This window comes from Homo sapiens, chromosome X, assembly GCF_000001405.40.
Source record: "Homo sapiens chromosome X, GRCh38.p14 Primary Assembly".
NCBI lineage: Eukaryota > Metazoa > Chordata > Mammalia > Primates > Hominidae > Homo > Homo sapiens.
In genome coordinates this window covers 136,496,842-136,512,346 of record NC_000023.11, presented here as the reverse complement: position 1 = coordinate 136,512,346, position 15,505 = coordinate 136,496,842, and the positions used below count along the sequence as shown (strand labels likewise).

At 38.4% G+C, this 15,505-nt stretch overlaps 1 protein-coding gene across 2 annotated transcripts, besides 1 other annotated feature; it reads right to left on the bottom strand.

Annotated features, from left to right (window-relative positions):
• On the bottom strand, positions 1-15,118 carry HTATSF1 (HIV-1 Tat specific factor 1). 2 transcript variants are annotated; one of them, NM_001163280.2, is made up of 10 exons: positions 14,908-15,118; positions 14,477-14,723; positions 12,569-12,749; positions 12,142-12,189; positions 11,529-11,683; positions 9,406-9,569; positions 7,884-7,983; positions 3,167-3,256; positions 2,128-2,265; positions 1-1,539 (listed from the first exon to the last, which is right to left on the bottom strand). In NM_001163280.2, the coding sequence occupies exons 2-10, from the start codon at positions 14,660-14,662 to the stop codon at positions 334-336; spliced, it is 2,268 nt and encodes a 755-aa protein (NP_001156752.1). In that variant the 5' UTR covers positions 14,663-14,723; positions 14,908-15,118; the 3' UTR covers positions 1-333. The 2 variants fall into 2 exon arrangements, with proteins under 2 accessions (NP_001156752.1, NP_055315.2); NM_014500.5 differs by lacking the exon at positions 14,908-15,118 and having other exon boundaries at positions 14,477-14,755.
• Positions 14,745-15,414: a silencer, noted in NCBI's record as "silent region_21027". NCBI's record gives its function as "represses an Ori minimal core promoter by ATAC-STARR-seq in GM12878 lymphoblastoid cells {active_cell/tissue: GM12878}" and the evidence as "EXISTENCE:reporter gene assay evidence [ECO:0000049][PMID:35858748]".

Sequence of the window (15,505 nt, the reverse complement as noted above, 5' to 3'; positions counted from 1 at the left end):
TTTTCAGTTTCTGCATATTATCAACTCATTTTTATTGATGAATATCACAAACTTCAATCAATACTCTTAAAAATATTATTCTGCATGCATTTAACAAATCTGACAAAAGAACAAGTATCCAGTTTACTTGCATTGTAACTATGACATTTTAACTAAACAATCAATTAACATATATTTAAAACCATTAGGTACAGGTAACAATGAAACACTTCAATGCTTTAATCTGATGGCATCCTACCACTATGCACATGTTCATGTAACACTACTAGTAATTACCCTGAAGCACAGGCAAATGTAGATGGAGGACTCTCCCTAAAAAGCAAGTTTAAGGGATTAAATATCATCGTCATCATCATCGCTACTGAGAATAAAGCTGCTGCCAGTGGATAGGGGCCCTTCTTCAACACTCCCAAAACCACCCAAAGTCCCCCTCTCATCAGAATCGTCAAACAACTTCTCACTGGAATCTTCCTCCTCATCAAACAACTTCTCATTGGAATCATCATCTTCGAACAACTTTTCGTCAGCATCTTCAACTTCCTTTCCATCTGCATCTTCATCTTCCTTGTCATCTGACTCTTCAAACAGCTTTTCATCTGCATCACCTTCTTCCGCCTTTTTATCAGCAGCTTCAAGCCCCTTTTCATCTGCATATTCTTCATCCTCTTTCTCATCAGACTCATCATCAAATACTTTTTCATATGTATCCTCCTCTTCTTCCTTTTCATCTGAATCTTCGTCAAACTCTCTCTCAGAGCCTTCCTCATCTAACACTTTTTCAGAGCCGTCATCTTCAAATTCGGAGTTTTCAGAGTCATTTTCTTCTAACTCTTTGTCAAGAACATTTTCATGAAGCTCCTTTTCAGAACCTTCCTCGTCCAAATCTTTCTCGAGACCATTTTCTTCAAATTCTCTTTCGGAGCCATCTTCAGACTGTTTTTCAGAGCAGTCTTCATCAGACTCTTTCTCTGAGTCATCTTCTTCGGACTCTTTTGTGGGGCCAACCTCCTCTTCAGACTCCTTGTTGAGGTCATCTTCAGATTCCTTTGCAAGGCCATTCTCTTCACAATCATTTTTGAGTGTCTTCTTTTTAGACTCTTTTTTAGGACTATCCTCTTCAGATCCTCTTACGGGATTGCCTTCTTCAGACTCTTTTTGGGAGCAGCTGCCTTCAAACCCTCTTTTGGGGCAGCCCTCTTCAGATTCTTTTTCAGGGCAGCCTTCTTCAGCCTCTTTTTCGGGGCTACTTTCCTTAGCATTGTTTTCAGAAGCACCTTCTTCAAATTCTCCCCCATCTTCTGTCTTTTCAAACTTCTTCTCATCTATAGGTTCTTCAAACGCCATTCCAGTTGCAGTTTCTTGAGCATTCATTTTAGATGTGCTGGGGTGCTCTGAAAAATGCCTTGCTCTAGAAGGCCCTGCCCTTTCGGAAGCAGAGACAGAATCTGAACGCCTAAGGCCTCTGTTGGCCTCAGGAGCATTGAGGAAAGCCTCCCATCCTCTCAGCCTTTCCTCCCTTTCTCTTGAGGTTTCCTCCACCTGTGGATAAATGGAGACTGCCATTAAAATAAGTTTCAGGCAAAAGGTTACTTCTCTGAACATATCTAATATTGATGAAACAACCTTAATTTTATAAAGCATCTCTTATTAGGAAATGAAAGCAATTCCATCTTCAGTTTTCAAAACTTTACATCTTGATTTACTAGAGTTGACCTTAAATAAGACCACTTAAATAAAGGCCAAATATCACAGTACTGCAGAAATGTCTCATCTCTTAAAAAGTTAATATTTGAGCTCTGTCTATACTTTACAGCATACAAAGGAAGAGTAACATTTGGTTGAATGTGTTCTTTTCTTATCACTATTCTGAACAAGCCTCAAACTTTCAGACTTAGAAACTGAAAGACTCAAACATTTCTCTATCTTCTGAATGCAAAATATTATTTAAAAGCAGCACTGTAAATAATTAAGAGGAAGAGTAAAAAATTAAAATATATAAGTAAATAAAAATAAAAGAAGCATTGTTACATTAAATAGGTTAAACCAAACCCAAAATTTAGATCTGAAGGATCAGTATTTGTTGGTAATGAAACAATGTGTGTGCCCTTGACAAGCAGCAAAATTTACCTGATAATCTGTAGTCCCATCCCATGCCTGGGCAGTGATTTGACGGCCACCAAACCATCTTCCATCGAGAGTCTGAATACAATAATCAGCTTCCTCTGGATCCCGAAAGGACACAGAGGCCACACCATCTGGGTGCCTCTAGAAAGATAAGAAAGAAAAAAAAGGAATGAATGATAAGATTAAAAATAAAACACATACATTTCACAAAGTAGGTAAGTAGTAGTGTTCTCTCTGATACTCTGAAGTAAAAGACTTTATGTATGAAGTCTTTCTTCCATTTTATCCCAGCCAGTCACGTGCAGTCAGCTGCTTCTTTACCTCAATCTTACCTAGCAAGAACCAAGCACAATGTCCTTGGAAATGTTTCTGCTGACATCCCTGTCTAATGAGAAGCAGGACAGTATAATTGTTAAGAGTGTAAACTCTGAAGTCATATTGCCCTGGGATTAAATCCTGGCTCTGTCAGTTACCAAATGAACAACCTTGAGCCAGGTGTTCAATTTCTAAAGTGTTAGCTTCCTCATCTGTAAAATGGGTGTAATAGTGCTAACCTGCCTCAAAGGGTTTTGAGAAGTGAGATAACATGTAAAGTAGCTTGTAATACACAAGCAATAAATGGTGACTCTTAATTATTGGGTGTCAATTCTGGAAGTAAAAAGAGGATGAGAAGAGGAAATATACAGGAGAATATTGTCCCTGATTGTTCCAAATATGGAGGATGAGAATAATTCACAAAGAGGGGAAAATGTGACTAATAGGGAACCAGAGATCTCATACATTTTTCCTGTACCTTCTTTCACCTGATCATGTACTCTAGGGTAATGAAGACGGAAAATAAGCAAGGCATACCAAATCTATCAAATCCTTGGCTTGTAATCCACGTTCATCTCATTATTGCTAATAGATGATTATCACAAGATAGTGGACTACTATATAAAAACATTAATCTAAAATTCAGGGGTATACTAACATCTGAGAAGAACTTATAAGGTGGAGGAATTATTGCTTTAGGATCCATATGTCCAAGCCATGAACTTACATCAAAGAGAAGGAGTTTCCTAATTTGTCCAAACTTCGAACACTCTACTCGAAGGTCTTCTCTGATCTCATTCAGCACCAACGGATCATCCTGAAAAATATGCATGATTAAAATGGGTTTGCTCCCTTCTTTAACTATAAATCCTGAGAATCCAATTTCTTGTTCTGATAAATCAACAAACAGAAAAAGGTTTTGCTTAAGGTTGTGTTTTTCATTCTATACAATTTTTTAAAAACTCAAAATCAAATAAAATTATACTACTACATACACTGCTACTCCTATAGGTTTGCCCTGCTTTAAACAAAGGAAATGGACAAGTATGGCAGGCAGCAGAAGGGGCCTACAGTGGCAGAGCAGGAGAAGATGGTGGAAGTCCTGTGGCGCATATTCAGTCAGACTGCTAATTCCTATGCTCTGCATGGGCATCAACATCACACTGATAAGAGCCCTTTGCTTTGTGTTTTGGATACATTCCTATTTACAGAAATGTTGTAATGGAGAGAGAGAGAGCAATATATCCCTTTTATTGACTAAGTGTCCTAAGATTGATTTTTGTGCTTCCAAGATGCTATTTTAACTCACAGAATAAACATCGTAAGGATTACTGTTCGTCTTGTCTCCTACCACATTGTAACAGAACCATACAAATAAGGAGCTGTTATTAAGCATGCAATAAAATACATTCTTAGCTGTTGCTTTCTTGCAACTATGAGCCTATTAAGAACATTCAAGTACTGCTGTTTCTAGTAGCCTAGAGTTCGGGTGGAAATCTCCCTATAACAACAAAATGATTTAAGATTCCCTCTGGGAATTAACAAATCTCTCTCCAAGTACCAATGCATAAAAAGGGCTCAGGAAAAGCTACATTATCAGCTTGAATTTCAACTATATACAAATATAAATGAAGATATCCTATCTACAAATTTCTATTGAAGGTGACTTATACTTTCTAGGAAACATTTAAGCGCATCTATCTTTCTTACACGCTTTCATTTTTCTCATCAGCTAAAGAGGAACTATAGAGAATTGTGGCTTTCCTCCCATAAGGTTCTTCAAAAAGCAAAAATAAGCTGGCAGGGAGTTACTGAAATCTGATTTAAAATAAAAAATATAAAATCATACTCATTTGCATAAATCTGAGGCTTCTAAAACTACAGTTGGCAGAACTCTGGACTTCCCCACTTATAAAACTCAATTTTGGAGAAGCAGCCAATTTGCTTTATACAAAATGATCAGACCTGAGAAGAATAAGGAGTAGAGAATAAAAGTTATGGCTTTTGACATGTGTGTGTGTGTGTGGGGTTAGCTCCTATTAGAGTGAGTGCTTTCAGAAGGCAGGACCTTTGTTTTATTGAGTTTCAGATACCTCACAGAAAATAGCACAGACTTTTGTACAAAGCCAATATTCAAGAAAATCTTTTTAAGAATTTGATAAACTGTTTCTAATACCTCTCTTTTATTCACCAAGGAAAATCAGGATTATATCAAAAACAAAAAAAAAACTGTGTCAACATGTTTAACAACTTTTAAATTGAAGCGTGATTCCATGGTGGGGGTAGGCATCACCTCCATTTCTACACCAATGTCTCAGTGCTTTGCTTTCTTTCTTTTTTTTTTTTGAAGACAGAGTCTTACTCTGTTGCCCAGGCTGGAGTGCAGTGGCGCGATCTTGGCTCACTGCAGCCTCTGCCTCCCGGATTCAAGTGATCCTCGTGCCTCAGCCTTCCAAGTAGCTGGGATTACAGGTGCGTGCTATCATGCCCGGCTAATGCATTTGAGTTTTGACTCTTCATGTCCTGGTATTCAAATTTGCCAGGCAATGCATTTTAAAGTAAGGATTTGAATTAAATACTGAAGACCCTCTGAAGTTACATTAAAAATGTTAGCCTTCAGATCAGACAGTATTCTTAGGTATGTTGCTTCTAACTGTTTGGAATCAAAATATACCCCTCCACCCAAAATCTGACTCCTTTCAGATATCTCAGGATAACCTGACAATTCAGTTTTTGTTTTCCACTAAAAAGCTCAATGCTGCTGTGTGTTCTTTAGGTTCATATGGAGTCTTGAGTCAAATCAAACACTCCCCCAAAACATGCAATAAAAGCAGGTTTTCCTGTTGGACACTTCTATCAAAAGTTATATAATGTCTATACCAGTGTTGTCCAATAGAAGGTTCTGTGATAATGAAAATGTTGTATATCTGCATTATCCAATATGGTAGCTACTAGCTACATGTGCCTAGTAGAAGCGATGAACTGAATTTTATTTCATTTTAATTAACTTACATTTAACCACACATGGCTACAGTCTACCATATCTGACAGCACAGGTCTACACTGAGGTTCAGGTGCTCAGAGACAGTGAACAAAAGCAAGATTATTTGTCACTCTTCTTGTTGACACGCTCTCAGCAAGCTAGTTGGACCATGTGAGGCCAGGAAGGTGGGCAAACAAGGATAGCATCACCAAGCATTTCTTTGTGAACTAATTCCGCCACGGCCAAGACAATGTCCCACCATCCTTTGTGGAATAAGCATCTAAGAAGAAAATTTGCTTTCATTTGCAAAGATGCTGAAGAGAAAATGTTTTATCCACTGGCTGAATGAAAAGACTCTGGCTTGTAAATAACAAGGGTTTCATTTAGCAATTCTTTCAATTCTTCATCACATAAATATTAAGGGCCAACTGTGTGCCAGGCAAATTCTATGTACTGAGAATACAGCAGCAAACAAGGTAGACAAAATACTGGGTGTCATGGAGCTCACATTCTAGTAGACGAGTCAAAATTACTTCAGATAATAATAAATGCTATGAAGGAAACAAAATAGGGTAGTATAAAGGCTCTGTAACTCCAAAGTAATGTTTATACTAAACCAAGAAGATTAAAAAAAAAATCAGGAATTTGCAAGCATGAAACTTCTATCTTTAAAAATATTCACTGGAGGGAATGTATAGGGGTCAAGGTAGAATAAATGTGGTTTTGGGGAAAGAATATTTGTTAAGCTGGGAAGAGCTAAGTCTGCCTGGGGTGATCCTTAGACTCAAATAAGGTATTTCAATGAGCAAGGCAGGAGGTAGAAACAAGAATAGATTAAAATTACACAACAGACTTCTACTTGCAGAGGTTCCAGATAGTTTGAATTAGGTTTGCATTTACATTCACACTTGGGTGGCAGGAGTATGAAATGTGTGAATCAAAGACCTCGAGTCACAGAAATAAATATGTCACCTAATAAATCACTTATTTAGCAGGGGGATAAAATGTAATAAATAATAGGAAATCCCGGAGTTGTATTTAGCAGACTAAATATTGTGATCAATCTGTGCATTTATTTTATATGCTGCTTTAATGACTATGATCTGGTTCTTTGTTTTGTTTTATTTTGTTTTGTTTTGAGATGGAGTCTCGCTCCGTTGCCCAGGCTGGAGTGCAGTGGCGCGATCTTACCATAACCTCTGCCTACCGGGTTCAGGTGATTCTCCTGAATCAGCCTCCTGAGTAGCTGGGATTACAGGTATGCGCCACCATGCCCAGCTAATATTTTTGTAATTCTATGCATTCATTTTAAAGTTATTGCTGGCAAAAACAGTATTTCAAAATGCATCTGGTGTGCACGTGTTTATAAACCATACTTCATTATCACTGCAACTGTAAAACTGTAAACTGTTATATTTCAAAATTCTTCCAGATTTCTAGTCAGAAGAGATATCAATCAATCTCATAAATAAACCAGACGTATATTTCCAATGACCTCAAAAGATGCCCAAACTCCATAGGTACACAGTAAACCTTATCACAACACTATTCATTGAGATAGAGCTGAACTGTCCATTTTGGGGCCCTCTCTAAGGGAGCTACAATTATATTACCATTTTGACTGTTTAAATGCACAAAAGGGTCAGGAATGGGCACTAATTTACAACTAGATTATTGGTAAAAACGGAATTTTACGTTATGAACATTTTTCTCTGTATAACTTGCTATCTGTATAACCTGCTTTCTGTATAACTTGCTATCACTAATTTCAGAACCAGGGAGAGAATAAAGAGTTGTTTCTCCACAACAATAAAGTCAGTCTACACCAGTAGACAGAGATAAGAATACAGGCAGAATGTAACACAAGGTACTTTGATGACAATATTCCTCAGAACTCCTTGTTCTTTGCTTCTCCTTTATTCACTTTTTTGAGGGGAGGAAGGACAGTTCCATTAACTTTTTTTAAAATCACTTAAAAAAGTTGATACATAACAGATGTACTTATTCACTTTTACTTGCTGTTCTTGGAATTTTCCACGGACATTAAATATTATAACTTTTAGTACCAAACTGAAGTTTGCATTTACAATTGTGAAGCTGGTACTCCCCACCAAAATCAGGCCATACTTGTTGGCTTGCACTGAAAATCCACAAGCAGTTCCCATAAATCTTTTGATGATGATATTTTTCAATGGTTTCCCATACCAAGTAGCTGCTGCTTGGGGCGCAGTATGGTTATTAAACAGTCTTATCTGTGATACACTTTAAAACAATACTGGGCTAAACAAAGGGAAGGGAAATCAAAAGACTTAAGTAGCTTCTTGGCTCCATCTTCCTTTACTACTCGCTGCACAAACACGTAGGAGGTGACAAGACAAAGATGAGGCGAGGCAAGCTCCAGGCTCCCTTGAGAGAAAAAAAGCCTATCAGCATTTCTATCAGTAAGCACACCACTTCCTACCTCAAAATCCATAGGATGAAACATATTCTTGATGATGACAACTCGCTCATGGCGCATCCGGGATGGTCCGGCTCGCCTCTCAGGTCTCCAATCCAACTGCCTGAGGCAATGAAGCAGTAACAACAAACTGTAAATTTTGCTTCAGACTTGTTGGAGAGAGAAAAGAATGAGTTGTTCATACAATACTTTACTGAGTATTTAATAAAGATAATTACTGGATTTTACAACAACAAACTGTATTTCAGTCATAGTTCCAGTCAGAAAACTTTCTGAAATAAAAATAATGGGCAGGGGGCCGTGTGCGGTGGCTCATACCTATAATCCCAGCACTTTGGGAGGCCGAGGCGGGCGGATCACTTGAGGCCAGGAGTTCAAGACCAGCCTGGCCAACATGGTGAAACCCCATCTCTACTAAAAATACAAAAATCAGCCAGGCGTGGTGGTGCACGTCTGTAATCCCAGCTACTGGGGAGGCTGAGGCATGAGTATAGCTTGAACCCCGGAGGTACAGGTTGCAGTGAGCCAACATTGCACCCCTGCACTCCAGCCTGTGTGACAGAGTGAGACTCTTGCCTCAAATAAATAAAATAAAATAAAATAAAAGGCAGAGGCAAAATGATCCCAGTATCTGAAATCCCCAGATGAAATGTTTTTCAGGGCAACTGTTGTCTGATTATACAAACATTCCAATGAGACCCTTGAAAAATCTCTAATTCTTAGTATTTATGAGTTCAGAAAGATATACCTTGAGGCTAAAAAATATATTTAAATTGTATTGGTTTTTAGGTACTTTATCATTATAAAAAACAAACTGCACTCAAATACATAAAACTACTCAACTCTGTTACAATCATAAATTTTACTGATATTGTTTAAAAAATATGTGGTTATCAATTTTACCTACACTTGTAAAAACAATGAGACATCACAACTAAATGCTTTTATGATATTTAATTAGTTTAAGCATGGTGTTAGAAGTGTCATTAGAATTTACTCTGATAAAAGTATTTATCATTTTGACTAATTTCTTAAAACTAGTATATTTCAAAGTATATTAAACAAACAGAATAATAATAGAAACTTGATGACATTATGTATATACTACATACAACTACAGTAAATACAATTATAAAATCCTGTCATTTCTAATTCCTATAACAAACCTGTATAGAAAAATTTAGCTCCTGGTACCACTGATTTCAATCCACACAGAAGTAAACGGTTCTGGTACATAAGCCTAAACTATCTTATTTAATTTGATGTTCAACGTTTTCCAAACAGATGGCTTCTCTTAGCTCATTTAAGCCCTTATTATATTACAAATAGACACTCTGGAAAATTAAAATCCCCACCACTGCTAAATCTAAACCTATTGTATAGATTGCTAAAGGTACCTGATGAGCTAATGAAATTATTTTAAAATAATGTGTAGGCACACTTGACAGAATAAAACTAGATGGCTATTACCAAAAATATACTCTAGAATATATGGAACCTTTCAAAAGGGAAAAAAATTACAAACTTTTGTTGCATAGACAGCTTCTTCTTATAGTCTTTGCACTTCTTCTTCTTCTTTGAGGCATCATATTCTCCCTTCAGTTGAAACTTTGCCACCTCAACATGTAATTTGTAGCCTCTAATTTCATCTTCATCCAAAAGTTTTAATGCAAGTTCCACAGATTCTCTCTTTATAAATGTAAGACAAAATATAGTCAGTTATACAACGAAATAAAACTTCAGGAGTTTTTTAGATGAACGATGATTATACATAAAATAATTTAAATTCTTATATTTATATATTATGAATATACGAGATCTCGTTCTCTCTTTGAGATAAAGAACTCTAGAATCTGAACCAGGAAACCCGCATCTGAGACACAGCTGTCCCTAACCGGCTGTGTGAACTTGGGTAAATTATTCAAGCTTCCTGAGCCCCAATATCGTCGTATGTAGAATGGAAATAGTTAATACCTTCATCACAAGGTTCTTGACAAAATTAAATGAAATAATGCATGGAAAGGATAAGGACTAACATATGGTAGGTGTTCAATAAATATTATTATTGGGTAATTTTGTCTCTTGAGGCCACAATTTCTCATTTGCAGAATGAAGGGAGCAAATCTGCATGATTTCTAAGGTGTATTTCTTTTAAAATTCTATAATACTCTTACTTAAAAGACTAGATGACTCAAGGAATTGGGAACACCATAGACAGCCTTTAATTTTTTGGTTCATCCATTAAATTGTGAGTCTGTAATACACTGAGAAGTAGAAGACAATTATCTGATGACTTGTACTTTATATTAAATACATGTATGGATTCCAGGTCTTAGAGAAAGGACAGTTATCAGCCCTATACAAACAGAGTCAAAGATCAGAGGACCTGTAGAAAAGAAAAATGGATAACTGAACTCAGCTGCTCACATATATGGGTCCTGGAATAATTCACTATATTTTCCTGGAACTCAATTTACTGTTTTGACAATCTTGTACTTCTATGGGTCTCAAAACTCAATTTTTTTCCTTTAAAAATTTAAAAAATCTAACAGAACTCCCTAAGAATCTGTTCGCAGATTTTTTAATAATCCTTAAAGAACTTATAAAACCCTCAAATCTCCTTACATTTGAACATTACAAAACTACCATCCTAAAATGGTCATGCTCATGTCCCATAACCATCACGTTTAAGATTCAGGTCAAAAACCTATTTCCCAAAAAGCTGTCAGCTTAATCCTACTCTCTTCTGATCTCACTGGAATACTGTATACTCACAACACACCTGTGGTGTTTGTACTTTTGCTTTACCATTTTGACTTTACTCTGTAATTATTTCCAGGTTTGACTTATGTACATGTCATCATTTGTTCTGTACCCTGTGATAATGTATAACACATGCTCCTAAGGTGGCAGGTGTTCCAGAAATGATGGCTGCCTCTGGCATTGAGGTTTCTTTGTGTAATTTATGGTACTATGACTACATGAAGTTCTGCAAATTTCTCTTAATACCACTCTCTCTTTTCTCACATTCAAAAAAATATTTTAAAGCAGTAAGAATAAGCTATCGTCTCCTTCATGGTCTAATTCAAGGGTCAGAAAAATCCTTTTGTTAAAGGGCCAGTTCGTAAATATTTTAGGCTTTGTAGGCCACAAGGTCTGTGCTGCAACCACTCAACCCTATCAGTGAAACACAAAGGCAACCATAGACAAATGCATAAATGAATTAGTGTGGCTGTGTTCCATAAAGCTGTATTTACCAAAACAGAGCCCGAGTTTGCTGAACCCTGGTGTAATTCATTCCAATGGACAACTAAAATGTTACTGGCTTTTTTTCTTCTTGAATTTTTAAAATGTAGTCTGAATTGACTGTACACATCAATAAAAAAATCTTTCTAGTGAGAATTTTTCAAGACAGAAGAAGCACTCCAGTCGCATACTTATATAATACTTTTACCTGATAACATATTTTCTTAAAACAAGTGAATAATCTTACCAATGTGATACACACAGGTACTAACTGAAATTTCAGTTTTCTTCATATCCTGTTTTGAACAGTTCTTGGTGTTGGTTATCATCTATAGAAATTATAGCCCTGGTTCCTGAGTTAAAAACGAAGATACAAGAAACTTATTTGATCATACAACTTACTTTCAAATAACAGCAAAGACCGTCTCCTTTAAGATTTCCTTGATTATCTTTGTAAAGTTTGACCTTAAATTCTTCTGTCTGAGGATCTCTCATAATAATGCCAAACTTGGACATAAGTTGTATAAATTCATCCACTGTAATATCTGGAGGCAAACCTGTCATTTAAGAAAAATTAAAAAACATTTATAATTGATAATGAAGGTGAATTACTTAGCATTCTACCAATTAGAAATCTATAACTTAGGTGAATGCAATGTTGATTTTCTAAATGTATGTAAAAGTTTTACATTTACGGAACTGAAGAAATTTCACATTTTTGTGTGTTCAAATATACATTAAAATTATGCTTTCTTGAGGGCCTCACTGAATGGGAAGGGACACACTGCTGTAAGTTACATTAACCAGGCCTAAAGGTTGGTATGCAAAGTTACACACTAAATTTCTTGGTTCTGTAATGAACACACATATTCCTTACTAATATAAATGGCTGAACAAAAAATGACACAATGATAAAAAATGGACTCTGGAGAAACTGAAAGCTAAAAATCACTTCGTGAAAAATCTCAAAATTAAGTATTTCCTACCTTAAACCTGTTTAAAAAGTTATACATACCAGACACGTATACATTTGTATTTCTGTCTTCTTCAACATGAAACCATCCTAGAAATCAAAATTAATTAAATAAATAAAACACTTGCAAAAAAAGATAAGAGTCATATTATGGAATCTTGACAAAGCAGCAGTTTCTTGAAACTTCCAGGACGACCTTTCTGTTACTCTTAAAAGACCAAGATAAACTAACTCAAATCACTACCCAGCTTTCAAAAGATTTAAATCTTTTGAGAAATAATTAGTTTTAGAGCCCTATCTGGAAAAAAGATGGCCAGTTTATCTTGATTCTTTATAACTGACACTACCTTAAAGAAAAAACTCACCTTATTCCTTCAAAGCTATTATAATTCTCGAAAAAGCAACTGTACCTATGCACACCCATATTTTTAATTTTTACACTTAAAATTTGTAAGCTAGAACCACTTACCTGACTCAGCCTTTCTTTTTTCTCCCTTCTTTCTGGCATCAGTGGGTTCCGGGGCTTTTTCTTGTGGAGGTTCCTCTGCAGTCCTAGCATGGACATCTTCAACATTTGCGGTAGAACTAGATGCGCCATCGTTAGAGAAGCCATAATTGGCCTGATATGTAGCAATGAAATCTTCAGTAATCTACACAAGCAATTCAACAGACCCGGACAGAGAAATTCAAAATTATTTCCACTCATAAGAAGTTTAAATTGTGTTTTTACAGCATAGTTATACAACTTAACACAAAAGTGTTTCTGTGGATAATAGTTGTAGTTATTAAGGTATAAATGCAAGAATAGTCACCTTCTATAGAAAATTGTGCATACGGTGATAAAAAATAAGACACAAGTACTTAGATGATCAATGCAAAAGTCTGAGATACGATTTAAAGCATTTTAAGTGATGCTGGCACCTTTTCTAGTTGTTTCATTTATTAATTACTACCTCTCTACACTACTTGACTAAGGCTACAAATACATACAACAAAGGAAGAACCAGATAATAAAACAATAAAAACCAACAGTCAATGAATAATCTAACCACAGAATCCAATTTTCTCTTACTGTACAGATGCACCAATATACATGTACAATAAGTACTTAAATATCTGTATGCAGAGAGCACACAGAACAGAACTCTGATTTGGTATATAAAGAATGGGGTTAACAATTGTAAAACTAAATGCTCATTTTAACTTTATCACAAATTAAATGACGTTATATTTTAGTATCAGAACAAATTAAAGACAAATCCAACTCATATCTATCTTCCTCCCCTTTGGGGGAAAAGCGTTATTGCAAAACGAAAGAAATATAGTTATATCATCATACCAATCAATATTAGGCAGGCATGGAATGGGGAAAATGTAAAACCCAAAGTTTGAAGAGGTATGGGCTTCAACAACATAAAAGGATAAAGTCACACATTAATCCATTATCACACCTTTGTTAAAAGTATTCAGAATGCTGAAGAAACCAAATCTGCACTCAAACTAGCACTACCAACACAGAAGTGAAATCGTAAATTTTAACAATCTGGAGGGATTGGAATATATATACAAATACAGAATGGGAAAGAAAAGTTGCAAAAGAATTTTTACAATAGCAGTCCAGTCGCGCAGTGGAGACAGGTTTTGTATCATTGACTTGCAAGTCAATTTGTGTGCTATTAGTGTGCCCTTTCCTGCTCATGAGAGCCAGATTAAAAGGGCACTTTTACCACAAAGTTTACAGAATCAAGTTTAACATTAGTTATTTTACTTCGAAGCTGAAATAAAAATACTTAGCAATTTCCAAGTATTCCAAACAAACATACACAGATTTTCCATCTGTATTCTGTGTATCTCCAGTCTTATTCCTGTGGTTATATGGTTCAAACATATATGCCTAGGGACAAAATTTACTAGGAAAGTAAAGCAAGGTGCAAAGAAAGTTCAATTAGTAAAGCTATATAAACAGCTACTTTAAAAAAGAAATCAAGAAACTGCATTTTGCACATAGTACATAAGCTAAACATCTGAGTTCCTAGGACAAGTGGGGTTGGCTACCAGAAATGGACAGCTACTAAATTTGTTCTTGGTATTTTTCCTCTTTGCAATAAAAAGCAGTCATGTAATAATCAACTGTGACCTTCACAGACAAGATTAATAAAGCATAGAAAAGACTTAAAAATTACATTTAAGACACTACCCTAAAGATTTACGTTCTTTTACACATCGGTGCCCCAACAAACACAACAAAAAGAAGCGTCGCTATTCAAGGGGGCTAGGACCAAGGACCAAGGATCTCAGCAAAGCAAACGTAAAAGGAGTGCCCCGCGAGGCTGGCCAGGCGGCCCGCTCTGCAGTGGCGCCCGTGGCACTCTCCTACCTTGGGGAACCAAGCCTTTTTGTCCAGGTCCCACTCGTAGGGAGTGTCCGTCGGCTGCTGCCCGAGAGAATCGGGTTCTCCGCCGGCATCGGTCTGGGTGTCACCATCCTTGCCGTCTCCGTACAATTCTTGCATTCGCAACTGCTCATCAAACTCATCGTTCCCATCCAAGTTGGTGCCGCTCATGTTTCCTACCTAGCTCAGGAGCAGGGTTCAGAAGAACTAAGAGGCCGAAATGACGCTGGAGCTGAGCAGAGAAAGGGAGGTCAACCGCGCTCTGCTCGCGCCCCGCCGCCCCCCGGCCCGCCTCCCCGCTGCGCCCCAGCAGTCCCCGGGAAATCGCGGCCGCTCGGCGGCTGCACCGCCCCCCTCTCTGCCCGCCCACCGCGCGCGCGCGCTGATGCTGTGAGCTCGGCCGCGCCGCCGCCCACCTGGCTTGCTCCGCCGGGCCTCGGCACCGCCGCTAGGTCCAGGGCGCTGCGGGAGCGCGCAGGCGCGCTGCCGCCGCCGCCACCGCCGCCGCCGCCGACCGGATCTGAGGCGACTGCGGCTCCCTCGGCAACGTCAGGAAATTACTTCTAAACTAAGCCCTGCTCAGGCCGACGCAGCCGCCATTGTCGGCGCGTGGCGACGTCGCGGGTCGCGCCGACACGCCCACTATGGCGTCAAAAAGCGCCGACGCCGGCATGCGGCGCGAGGCCCGGGGAGGCGGGGCGCCGGGGTTGGGGGGACCCGCTGCTGCTGCGCGTCGACGCCCACCGGGGTCGGGTTTGGGGCGGGGCGAGGGCCACTGGGATCCCGCGGCGCCTCAAGGGCCTTGAGCTCCGCGGGGTCCCCGGCGGATCGGCCGGCCCGGGAGGGAAACGGAAGGAAGGCGTGGGAATATTCCCTCGCGGGGGTGGCCGGGCGGGTTTCGCGAGGGCGCCATCTTAGGGGAGTGGGTGGGGCGGACAGGACAAATTTCTCTGGCTTCGAGAAAACGACGCGCCTCCTTCGCCCAAAGGCCCCTCCCCCGCTCAGGAACCGCGT

Bases quoted from the DNA above. Each gene is read 5' to 3' on its own strand.
- HTATSF1 (NM_001163280.2), bottom strand. From the start codon at position 14,662: ATGAGCGGCACCAACTTGGATGGGAACGATGAGTTTGATGAGCAGTTG. The intron at 12,190-12,568 runs GTAAGTGGTTCT...TTTGATTTCTAG, and splicing joins AAAAAGAAAGGCTGAGTCAG to GATGGTTTCATGTTGAAGAA. The intron at 3,257-7,883 runs GTAGGAAGTGGT...CATATTTTTCAG, and splicing joins TTCATCCTATGGATTTTGAG to GATGATCCGTTGGTGCTGAA.